This window comes from Homo sapiens, chromosome 11, assembly GCF_000001405.40.
Source record: "Homo sapiens chromosome 11, GRCh38.p14 Primary Assembly".
NCBI classification, from domain to species: Eukaryota; Metazoa; Chordata; class Mammalia; order Primates; family Hominidae; genus Homo; species Homo sapiens.
Genome location: NC_000011.10, coordinates 128834783 through 128847547, shown reverse-complemented (window position 1 = coordinate 128847547; position 12765 = coordinate 128834783). Strand labels below are relative to the sequence as shown.

Sequence of the window (12765 nt, the reverse complement as noted above, 5' to 3'; positions counted from 1 at the left end):
AACTCATTTTAATGGCTTTTTCTATTTAACTTGGCTATATCCTTGATTCTTCACTTCTTCATACAGAAACAAACATATGTACCAATTGCACATAGGCATGTAAGACTTGTGGAAGCCACGGAATGGAATTGGTTCTCACCAGTGGGCTTGTAAAGTGGTTTTGTTGTGTTATAGTTACACTTATTTCCTGTGCTCTTAGGGTCTTCAGTGGTCAGTGCCCTCCAGTCAGAAAGCACCAGTAGTACCCTGTATTTGAGCAAGTTGGACTTTTTGCAGCTATGGAGAACTGCACCATAAACAATCATGGGGCGTCTCACTGAGAGGGTTTTGGAAAGGACTTGCATAGGATCTGGGCATGTTTCAGGTGATGCGGCGGGGGAGGCTTAAGGAAGCAATGCTTTGCTCTGGATTAGGGGCTGTTAGGGAGTAGTGATGATTCTATGATCAAATATGTTGATAATTCTTATTATCTAGGTGAGAAGACTGACATGAGACTAAAGCTGTTCTGGGGAAAGAAACAGCAGACACTCATCAGGATGGGGGGATATTCGGCCATTTTGTGGCTTGGACAATGTTTGTGTTTTGTTGGTGTTCAGACATGATTACAGAGTGGCCTTGTTTTATCCCAATCCATCATGATCTGAGTGGCCTGGTCTGAGGCTGATGATTTGTGAGATTGCTTGTGTTTAACAGGAGCAAGACCCAGCCTCATGTGCCAGGAGAACCAAGACCTCGCCGGTAGTACGAGGTCACCTTCCAGTGGCCTGCTTTTCCACAGATCCAATCCTAGTTAATCCTAATCCTAGGGTGAGAGAAGAACAGCATCAAGCCTCGGTACCGTCGCTCTGTTCAGCCTTGCCAAGGATAATTCTCTCCCTCTATCCTGTTCCCACCTCTCCAAGACAAGTCTTTTGCCCTGATTATAGAGAAAACCTTTATAAAACATGTTTGTATTTTCCAGATCTTCTGTTGCGCACTGGGAGGATGGGCTCTGAAGCTAGCATAGTTGATAGACCAGATATGTTGTCAGAACCTTCATCACTCTCACGGAAGCCTTTTCCTCCATTGGCTGTAGTCTCCAATATGGCCCATTTCGCTCCAGGAGGTAGACCCCGATTGGCCTGGACCAGTGACCCCTGATTAAACTGCCATGCTAGTTTGAAATTTGGGAACCAGTTATAATAATTGTAGCTATTTATTGCATAATTACTATTTTCTAGGAACTTTACCTATGCTATTGCATTTAAATCATACAACAATGTTTGAGAGTATATTATAGCCATTTCACAGGTGAGGAAACTCACCTGTATCAGCAAAGGTCAGTGGTTTGCTTAGCTCACCTGACTCTTGGGTGGCAGAGATAGGGTTCAAATCAATGTCTGTGCTAACCCGAGCTAGAAGCCCGTCGACTCTGCCATGCTGCCCCTAGCTGTTACCTCTTCTGGGAACATTACTGGCCAGGATCTCCTATCTTCTCCTGATCCCCTGTGCACAAAAGGACAAGTTATTCAGAAAGTGATACTCTGGATGGCTGGCCCAGAGACGCCTACAGAACACAGTGTGCCTCCTGAGAGTACCAACACCATCAGACCTTGTGATGCTTCAGCCCTTTTTCCCCAAGCTCTCTTCTCTGGAAGGAGGGAGGCACCTAGGAAGGCCCTTGCTGTACACACACCCTGGATACAGACACACTCTGGTTCATAGCAGTGGGGACCCAGGAGTATGCTCACCCTACAAAAAAGTAGGGTATTCCTGAAGTGCATTCCCAAGTCTAGCCTGGAAGAGTCCTGAAGCTCAGATGCCCTCTTCTATGCCCATGAGGCCAGGAAAGATGGTTTCTACCAGCCTTGCCAAGTTCTATCTAAAAAGAGCCCATGCTGTTCCCATGTGAGCTGCCTGATAGTGGTAAAGACATCAGAGATAACTTCTCTGGCATTACCGAACAGAAGGGAAATGCCACTCTCTGTCTACTACAGGTTCTGGATGTGATAAGTGTAGTCTGTGGAGCTAGATGGTTTACTGCTTCTCGGGGCTCTGAACCTTTGCAGATCCAGCAGGGTGGTGATCCTCCAATAGCTTGAGATGATTTTCATAGAAAACAGGAAGTCCTCCACAGCAGCAGTTAGATGCACTTGTTTTCCTTCCTTAGCAAAGCTGAGTAAGAATACAAGCCCAACACCCACCCAACCTTCTGGGTCTCCTCTTTGGGACTGCCTTAACATCGTGTCCTCAATCATTTCAAGGCAGCAAACCTGCCACATTACAATTCTTGAATTACTTATTCGTGAACAACTTGAGAGCAGGGACTGTTACCTTGCATTGTTTCCTAGCATAGCACCTGGTATATAGTAGATGCTCAATAAATAATGTGTTTGTTTAATTATATTGATTAAGAAGGAAGGGGCTCTGCCCCATAATCCCATTCAATCATTGCAATGGAAAATCCTCAAGAAATGTTTCCAGATTCAATCGACTGTTGACAAAGCAGTAATTTTTTCATAGAAACGAATTTCTTCTCCATCACGGTTAGAAAGGGACTAGAGAAAATCATCTGACTTCTCCTCTCAGGCCACATAGCTCATATTTCCTACCTCTAATCTGAAATCCTGACTCTCAGAAATGTCCTAAAGTTACCTAAGGATGTGCATGAGCTATGAGAGGTTTGGCTGAAAGGCAGACTGCAATAAGTGTTTTTTTTTTTTCCATTTCTATAGAGGAACAATAGACTTTTAATTCTAAATCAGAAGCGGTAACAGCCATGCCTATTTTCCCTTTCCCCTCTTTGACATAGTGGCTGTTTGACTGCTGAGCAGGCTGGGGTGGTAAGTGCTGTAAGAAATCCCAAATTCTGAATGAATTGTTCTCAAGTGGATGTCTGTGGAAGAAGAGCTTCTGCACCTGGGTTCATCAGATTCAGTAAGGACCACAAACTGTTGGTCCCTCCCTTAAAATGAGCACATGCTGATTAAAGTAGATGTTGCATAAAAATGAAGCACATATTTTTATGGAGAAAAGGAAATTCAGGAAGAAAATATGTTTGCTTTCAAGAATTTGAAGGGCTGTTAAATGGAGGAGACTTCAGACTTATTTAGAATTTTAATGAGATTTCTCTGAAGCACAACTAGAACAATGTTCTTTATAACAGTTTCTCCTTTCGTTCTATGAAAAAAACCTGTCAAATGGTACACCAAGTGCAGAGTCCGTTGGCCCTAGCTTGCCTTTGCAGCCCAGTGTCTCACTGAGGCTTTCTATGCTCCATTATTTGCTTACTTGGAACTTCTTTCAGCTCCCCCATGTTTTCTTTCCTTGGTTGCCCCTGCCTGGGTCACACAGAAGACTACCCTGTAGTGTGGTTAGTAGTGCACACACAAGACATCTCCATTAGAGTGGGAGCCACCAGATACTATGTGATATAAGTGACAGTAAGCTCATTGATTTTATATTCTCATTGATTAATGTATTTATCATCATTCAGCAAATATTTATAGAGTTTCTACTATATGTGACTCTAACTCATCTTCAGGGCTTGGCCTCAGGGTTACAGTTCTGCTCATCAAAATAGGTGCTCCCCAGAGTGCTCCCACTGTTTCATATCCTGGCATTCATCACTGGTCATTTCATAGATTATTGACACATTTGCACCACCCTCTCTGCTGAAATGGGAGTTGCATGATAACAAGGACTGAGTCCATTACTTCTCTGATGTCTAGCACAATGGTCAGCACACACAGTCAACATTGGGTATCAACATATCATCATTGAATAGTGATTGATAAATAAATTAATGTATACATAAATGCAATGAGTTTTCTGCCAGTTGAAGTATGTTTGCAAAGAAAGGGTGGATCCCCAGCTGATGGGGATCTTTTTAAAAAGTTATTCTTTTTGGCATTATACCAACCATGCTCGGTTGTGGTTGATTTCCTTAGTTCACTTCCCCATTAGACTATGAACTCCTTGAGAACAGGAAGAGTTCTATTTGTCTTTGAAATCCTACAGAACAAGCATACAATCAGTGTTTGGGAAGTGCACAAAATGTCTATTTTCTGAGAATGGATTGTTTATAGAACAAGAATGCTGAGGCACTAAAGAAAAAGTGGCAGTAATGTAATCCGCTTGTTTTGCCAAGCCACTAAAAATACCTTGGTAAATATTAGCTAATGTGCAGCCCTTTGCTTGCTATTAAGATTTACTGATTTCAATAGAAAGGAACCTAAAAACTGAGCATATTATATAACCCAGACACCAGGGACAATCTCTAATCACCTAAGAGTTCATAAAATACATATTGGCTCTGTCTGTGGTTAGATTAAATGCCATTATCTAAAAAAAGTAGGATCTGTGCAATAATAGGTCTGCCATGTGAATGACAGTTTTGGTTAGTGGATGAATTTATCCTGTATCATTGCATTCTCTAAGAATAATCCCTCTCACTCTGAACAAATAAATCAATAGCATTGGCTAACCCAGTGCATGTAAAAAACACCTTCAGTAAATGCCAGGTTTTCCCGAATAATAAAGACTTCCAACAATAAAGACTTCTTTTAAGTCTGTTTCTTACATAACTGTTGTATGGAGAGATTAACATGGTATCTTGTTTCTTCCTGGTGTGATCTTACTTTTGTCTTGTAAATATGTACTTATGTCTGTATGTTCACCTGCATCTTTGTGAACCCTTGGAAAACTCAGTATTTCAGTGGGTTTCAGAGAATAGGCCGGGAGATTGATGATAAGTAAGTGTTTCCGGCCAGTTGTTATTAGGCACAACTTTTAGGAGAAACAAGTGAGCGATAGAGCGTGGCCAAGGAGAGGAAGGCAATGCTGGAACCCAATCCATGCCTGCTGCCCAGAGACCTTAGCTGATGGCTTGTCATGTCTTAGCATGTTGGTATTCAAGCCATGTGATGTTGGAAAGAAAAAATACCTATTCAGCTTGGGGCTTGGTCTGAGAACAACCAATTGCCTTGGTTTAAATCACACGACTCCACTATCAAATTAAGTGTTTCCAAGTTTACACAAATTAGCGTCAGTCCACTGACTGTCGCCTACAATAAATTAGGCTGAGTCTAAAAGAAATCAGTCTGCATAGAAAGACCAACAACCAGCACCACTTCCTTGCTTTTTCCAGCCATGAATGCTTCCAGTCGGAATGTGTTTGACACGTTGGTAAGTGGAGGCTGGGGAAATCACCTCTCTGGAAAGCCAGGCAGATAATGTTTCATCATTAATGCAGTCATGGAAACTCAACGTTATTCAAGTGATCAATCAGGGGGTACTTCTTCACTCTACAGAAATCTTCTTTACCTTTAAAAGTAAAATGAAATTAAGGGAGGCTAGAGGAGCAGGGTGCTGGGAAAAAAACTCAGAAGTTGGTGTGTTAGGAGCCATCTCTGGAATTATAATGTATGACAAAGAGAATGTGGATTCAATTGATAAATGTTGGTTTTAGAATTTACTATTTGAGCTGAGAGTCACTCTCTGGAGAGCTGGGTAAACAGTGTGACCCTGAATGCACCTGGGAGAGAGGTCAGTCCACATGGGTGTAGACCAGGGTAAAGGATGTGTGTACAAGGAAAGGAGAAGACCATTTCCTTCTCTGTACCTCACATGCACCATCCCCTAATCCTCACTGGGGACTTGAGGTCAGTGAGGGCAGTGTGGGATGAGAGGAGGGCCCTCTTGACTATGTGCATTGCTGTTTATTCTCTTGGCAGCATTTTCTTTTTTTATGTCTTTAGAACCTGCCCTCAACATTTCAAATCACCACAGCTGTGGTTTTCTCATCACCGCTTCGACTTGGCGTTGGCTTCTTGTGTTTTCAGCTGGGTTAAGGCCTTGAACAAGACACTGTGGGATATCACTATTATTTAAAATGTATCACTCAGTTGGTTTCGCTTCCTAGTTCTTACGAATAAACACATTTTTCAAGGGGGATTTTGAAATCTATTTTAAAAACATATTTGCATTTAATGAAAAATACCCTGAAGACATTGCGGACCAGGGTGGGCACACCTTGATATTCTTGGGCATGGGGGAGGAGGTAATCTAGCGTTTATGACTTTGGGTTTCACCACTGTCAGGTGTTTATGGGACAGGCCCTTCACCATTTTGCTGTACAATGGAAGTCACAGTAATGTCATCTATAAAAAATCAATTGAGCAAATAGGATTTTGAAAAATGTAATTCATTCACTGAATTATTTCATTTACGTTTACTGAATAAACAGTAGGCACTCATCAACTGTGCTAGCAATTGTGATATAGGAATGAATAAAGTATGGTCTGTCTTTATGGAGTATTACTTAAATCAGTGCTCCCCAGTCCTCCAGCTTTGGAGTAGGGAAGGAAGTGTTAGATGTGTTGATGGTGGCTCTCATACTATTCCTTTTGGGAATCTTGGGAAACCGTGGGGAGAGAGTAGGAACAGGCTTGTAGATTTATGGAGAAGCCCTATGAGACCATCTGGTTGGATCTGAGCTCTGTTCTAAATAGTGTTCAGCATTTAACAAAAAGAAATATGACCAATACTTGTCTGAAAATATTTTAGGGAAGTGTGACTTTAGAATATAACATTTGATAACTGAGACACGGAGTGGTAGAAGCTCCCCTAGACTAGAGGCAGGGAGCCCTATATTCTAGTTGTCATCCTGCCACTGGCTAGGTACATGCATTTGGACAAGTTATTTAAATTTTCTAAATCTCAGTTTTCTCATTTGATAAATGAGAGAACAGAATTGAATTAGGATTTTTCTTGATATATGAGTATCAATAGAAGTACATAGATGATTTAGGTAGTATATTGATGAGTGTTTTATTGGTCAGTTATTCATTTTTCTATATCTCAAAAACATACATAATGCTTCAAGTTTGTGATTTCTCAGAAATTATTGCTTAACATAAGGCTAAACTTATGAGAAGGTGATTTAAGTAATATTCAATAAATAAAAATACAGGTCATAATTGGTTATTACAAACATATTTAAGGTTGTGTGAGACTAATTGAGGTCAGGAAACACTTGAATATATAATCACTTAGTTTGTCTTCATTTCTAGCTCTCTGTAATTATTTTGCCTCTTTATGTTTGAGTAACATGGTCTTCCAGTGGAAAGTTTCTATCAGAAATAGCATTGTGGTATCCAGAATAAACTTGTCAGCTTGCCAAATGATTAGTAACCCAGATAATTTTGAATGATCTTTTCGTAGTTAGGTCTTTCATGTGGGTCACCTAGTTCACTATTGCTATAAACATAATCCTTTTTTGTTTTTCTTTGATGTGTTTTCAGATCAGGGTGTTGACAGAAAGTATGTTCAAACATCTTCGGAAATGGGTCGTCACTCGCTTTTTTGGGCATTCTCGGCAAAGAGCAAGGCTAGTCTCCAAAGATGGAAGGTGCAACATAGAATTTGGCAATGTGGAGGCACAGTCAAGGTTTATATTCTTTGTGGACATCTGGACAACGGTACTTGACCTCAAGTGGAGATACAAAATGACCATTTTCATCACAGCCTTCTTGGGGAGTTGGTTTTTCTTTGGTCTCCTGTGGTATGCAGTAGCGTACATTCACAAAGACCTCCCGGAATTCCATCCTTCTGCCAATCACACTCCCTGTGTGGAGAATATTAATGGCTTGACCTCAGCTTTTCTGTTTTCTCTGGAGACTCAAGTGACCATTGGATATGGATTCAGGTGTGTGACAGAACAGTGTGCCACTGCCATTTTTCTGCTTATCTTTCAGTCTATACTTGGAGTTATAATCAATTCTTTCATGTGTGGGGCCATCTTAGCCAAGATCTCCAGGCCCAAAAAACGTGCCAAGACCATTACGTTCAGCAAGAACGCAGTGATCAGCAAACGGGGAGGGAAGCTTTGCCTCCTAATCCGAGTGGCTAATCTCAGGAAGAGCCTTCTTATTGGCAGTCACATTTATGGAAAGCTTCTGAAGACCACAGTCACTCCTGAAGGAGAGACCATTATTTTGGACCAGATCAATATCAACTTTGTAGTTGACGCTGGGAATGAAAATTTATTCTTCATCTCCCCATTGACAATTTACCATGTCATTGATCACAACAGCCCTTTCTTCCACATGGCAGCGGAGACCCTTCTCCAGCAGGACTTTGAATTAGTGGTGTTTTTAGATGGCACAGTGGAGTCCACCAGTGCTACCTGCCAAGTCCGGACATCCTATGTCCCAGAGGAGGTGCTTTGGGGCTACCGTTTTGCTCCCATAGTATCCAAGACAAAGGAAGGGAAATACCGAGTGGATTTCCATAACTTTAGCAAGACAGTGGAAGTGGAGACCCCTCACTGTGCCATGTGCCTTTATAATGAGAAAGATGTTAGAGCCAGGATGAAGAGAGGCTATGACAACCCCAACTTCATCTTGTCAGAAGTCAATGAAACAGATGACACCAAAATGTAACAGTGGCTTTTCAACGGGAGTAAAGCAAAGTCTCTAAAGCTCCTAGTACCTAGAAGCATTATGAAGCAGTCAACAATTTAGGGGTACGAAAGTAGGATGAGAGCCTTCAAAGTCTACCAGCACAAAGACCCCTGAGCCCCGCAATTGTGATCCCACAAGACATGCATCTCCACAAGGCTACTGTATTAGAACGTGCAATGCATTTATATGAAACTGGTGTATGGAAGACATAGGTGCTCTCTTGAAATCTTAAATATGATTATTTGAGCTCATATAAGGTGGATTGGAGCAGATAAAATTATCAAAAGTTTCATGAACAGGCCAAACAAAATATTTTTTAAAGTTTCCTTAAAGAAGTTATGAACTTTAGAAAGGATCAGGGGACAATAATAATCTCATTTTGATTCTACTGATAAGAATGACTCCACTTTTAATGTGGACTTTTACTCATGGAAAAATTGTCTCCTAATTTGGGGAGATGAACCAACCAATCAATGACAAGAAAACGCTTACACAAAGAACAATTTGAGGCTCTAAGCTTCTCATGTGGTACGTTTAGACAGAGGCTAAATCTGCACACTAGAATCTTGATGATACCTTCCTGCAAGACAGAATGCTTTAGTTAAAAGTGGTGATGATATTTCTTTCAATCTGTATTGGATGGCTTAAAGGGCTATAAATCTGTTTATAAAGAGCATTTCCTGCTCTTCGAAGACAGCAATGAGGAGTTGGAAGGTGCAAAGTCAGTAGAGAAGGGAATGTATCATTAATGCACCTGAGAAGAAACAGTTTCATGTGTTCCTCCACCTAGAGTTTGTACTGGAATGCTATTTCTAAAGAAGAAGTGGGAAAGAGAGAGGAATGGGATGGAGCCCCACAGTCAGAATGTTACTATGTCTTTCTTTCCCTGACAGCCCATCTTCCTAAAAGGGACCAGCTTATGGAAGGCTCGACCTTGAGGGGAAAGTTTTACTGTGAAAGTCTTCTTCAGATCCCCACCTGCATCATTCCGAATGTGTCCTGGAAAAAAACTGGTACTCAAAGCTGCTTAGGAATCAAAATGTTTTCAGTGTGTTGATTAATATAGTAAATTTCTGAAACTGTGCATGCACTTTGATTATTATTATTACTATGCATTAACTGAGTCAGGTTCCAGGTGAAAATCCTCTTGCAGAGAGGACCCTCTCCTGGAAGGGGCGGGAGGAGTGGAGAGGAAGCAGATAGGACACATTTGTTGTCTGGAGTCCTCAGGAGGAAATGACCCTGGCCACAGACACACCCCTTCCGGTACAGCTCCATCACGCCTCTCCAGTGTGAGTCTTGGCACATAAAACGGCAGCTGCCCACAGTTGTTGGGAGGGATGGCTTATGTTTTTCCATGCCTGGGCTGTATTTGTACAGATCCATGCACCACTCTGGTCCTTCTGACTAAGAACAGTGGGAAGTCTGATGGTTTTAGGGTTGCACACCTTGTCAGTGGCCATAACAGTGGCCATAGCTGGCCCATGTGGAACTCTCACTCTGTACCTGTGAGTGCTTTGGCACCACAATTTAATGTGCTGACAGGAAAAAGAAATCAGGTATCACAAGCTTGAGGGAGCTGGAATTCTCTGCTGGCCCACTGTCATGATGTAGCCCCTTCATAAACTGGAGGGAAACTGTGTTGACACTTGTTCCCATCAGCATGCACTCTTCCTGGTGTATTCTCCTGCTGGCTGGCAGCATGCATGTAGATGGCTGGAAGTGAGATGGTCATAAGCAATCCATTCCCTTTGATTGTTTAGGGAGGTGAACAACATACATCTTTCTGATTGGTATTTACTTCTGGGTTATTTGGTGGAGGCCCATCTGCTTCTAAATATCCCTTTGCTAGGATCAAGACACTCTGCACCTGGAGTCTCTTTTTTAATGGAAATTCCCATTGACCCTCTAGCAACCATTAACACAGGTACATCCAATTAAGCCCCTAGGAAAAGAGGCCTGGAACAGGTAACTTTTGATAGGTCTAAGGAGTGGCTGGAACCCCAAAGCGCATAACACTCCTGTGCATTTTAAGAAAGGGGGTAACAAGGGAATGGGTGCTCAAGTAGTAAAGAGAAATGAAAAATAGCCTGAGAAGGCCAAACTGCTTGTAGGTTAACACCACTGCTAAAGGCAGCCTTTTTATTACAATGCAGTGACATTTTTCCCGGTGGAATCTGACTACATCAGTACTGCTATTTGCTACAGATGCTGGGTTATTCTATTTGCTGATTTCAAAAGCATGTCAACTGTTCTAATTTCCTTCGTGAAAAACTGCATCCCATGATGCATTATTATATTCAAAATTTTCCTTGAGACTGATTCTCTTTGAATTGCCCAGTTCATCTCTGTTGCTATGGGGATTTTGACTAAGAGCGTTTGATCCTGGTTGAATCTTCCTGGACTTAGGTTGGCTCAAGCTCCAATATTTAAGAGTTAAGATTTGGGAGGTTGTCTTTAATGGAAAGCACTAAATGTTTAAAAATTATTTATTCCTTAAGAGAGAAAAGGTAGAAGGGAAAGATCCTTTTGTGTTGCCATGCCTTTTTAAGACATGGGCTGATAGGTGACTGTCCTTCTCTATCCATCACTAAGGGGATGTGCAACTGGACCTTCCAGAAGAACTCCCTGGGCGGATTGCAGAGACGGTTGAGGAAGTGTCTTCCTTGGGGATTTTTCATGAAACAGAATATGGGTCCTCAACAGGATGCTTCTGTGAATAGCACGGGGATCTTTCCCTGTCTAGAACAAACGTTAGGACAGCTTCTGATGGAAAGAATGCAAATGAACCCGGCCCCGCCCCTGGGCCGTTGTTGCCTGCCATTACAGGAAGTGTGTGTCAATCAAAGCTTGACAGGGGAGATAGAGCATTTTATTTTGGAAGCCAGAAGTTTGAGAACAATGACTGGAATTTCCTCTTTCTGTCCGGCAAGGGCTGTTTGTCATTGGGGAGATAAAAGTCCAGGGGCAGGGAATAAAGGTTATCGGGAACTGCGCAAGGCAGAGCCGTGGGGGGTGGGAGGAGGGGTTATGGAGGAAATCTATTTCAATGCCTGTCATTAAGTTTCCATTAAAAGAACATTCAGTTAGGAATTCAAAAATAATTTAATCTCCCCAGCCAGATGCACCCAGCTGGACTCCTTGGAGCTGAGCCCCTTGGAGAGGGAGATTTGCACCACCGGTTGCAGGGGCCAGGAGCTGGGGTGCGTCTCTACCCAGCGCACTCTCGACTGCTTGGGTGTTCTGGAAGACATCGGTATCCTTCAGACAAGTGGGAAACCCCAAGGCTTGTGCAGTGGCAGAAGAAAGTTATTTACTAGGAGTTATTTACTACGTTGTTACCATGTCCGAGGTTCTGTTTACAGCATTTTATATGCAGTCCCTCATGTAATTTTCCCAACAATCCTATGAGGTCAAGACTATGATTATACCTTTATTCCACTTGAGGCAGCTAAGGTAAGGAAGGTGTCCAGAGACATTACCTGGAAAATGGCAGGGCTGGCATGCAAACCCCGGGCAGTCCGCTTTGAAAGCCCATGAGTTTAAAATCCCTCGTCGACATCCTAGGAGGGACCATCCTCTGAGCAGATTCCCCAGGGCCATCGCACACTTCCCTGAAACCCACGGATGACTGGCGCATGCTCTTGGGATGCGTCTTATACTTTGGGAGAAACCACTCATTGCTCAGCACAAGACAGAGCCCTGGCGAGTGCTGAACGAACATCTCTGGAATTGCAGGTTCTAGGAAAAGGCAGTCTTTTCCCATGAGCTCTAGGTCATCCACCAGGTCAGTATACGGAAGTATCATGGGTGTCCTGAAGATTTGATTAGCCCATTGGTGCAAAGTATCTTCCTAATACTAATACACATACTTCTCTCTCTAAATATACACAAACACTAAATATATATACTAATTATATATATATAATTAAAAACTATGTGTGTGCATATGTATGTATACACATACACACACACATATTTATATTTCAGTCTTTGATGTAGAGGCAGATATTATTTCCATTTTGACATGGGAAGTGGAGCCTCCATTCTCCCTGGAGAACAGCCCCTGTGTTCTCTACTCACCTCTGTATTCCTAGCACCAGCAGAGTTCCTCACACAATCCATACATGGTTATAATGAATAAAATAAACCAATGAATGATTTGCTCAAGGTCTACATGGCTAGTAGTGGATTCAAACCCACATCTGTCCAATGAGCTTTTGACTGACCTATGTCATTGACCAGTCATTAGTCAAGGGGCCTGGAAAAATGACTTAACTTCATTAAGCCCCAGTTTCTTTATTTGTAGAATGGAGTTTTG

The 12765-nt window shown here is 42.2% G+C and overlaps 1 protein-coding gene across 5 annotated transcripts in view, besides 2 other annotated features; it reads left to right on the top strand.

Moving 5' to 3' along the window:
• Window positions 1–9528, top strand: part of KCNJ1 (potassium inwardly rectifying channel subfamily J member 1) — a 29277-nt gene extending 19749 nt beyond the window's left edge. For 4 of the 5 annotated variants that reach the window (NM_153764.3, NM_153766.3, NM_153765.3 and 1 more), the window contains one exon: window positions 7284–9528. In NM_153764.3, the coding sequence (NP_722448.1) occupies window positions 7305–8423 (1119 nt within the window). In that variant the 5' untranslated portion in view covers window positions 7284–7304 and the 3' untranslated portion in view covers window positions 8424–9528. Of the gene's footprint in view, window positions 1–5078; window positions 5167–7283 lie in introns of those variants that run through there. The other variant, NM_000220.6, reaches the window with a different exon arrangement.
• Window positions 2001–2100: an enhancer, noted in NCBI's record as "active region_5743". NCBI's record gives its function as "activates an Ori minimal core promoter by ATAC-STARR-seq in GM12878 lymphoblastoid cells {active_cell/tissue: GM12878}" and the evidence as "EXISTENCE:reporter gene assay evidence [ECO:0000049][PMID:35858748]".
• Window positions 5690–5899: an enhancer, noted in NCBI's record as "active region_5742". NCBI's record gives its function as "activates an Ori minimal core promoter by ATAC-STARR-seq in GM12878 lymphoblastoid cells {active_cell/tissue: GM12878}" and the evidence as "EXISTENCE:reporter gene assay evidence [ECO:0000049][PMID:35858748]".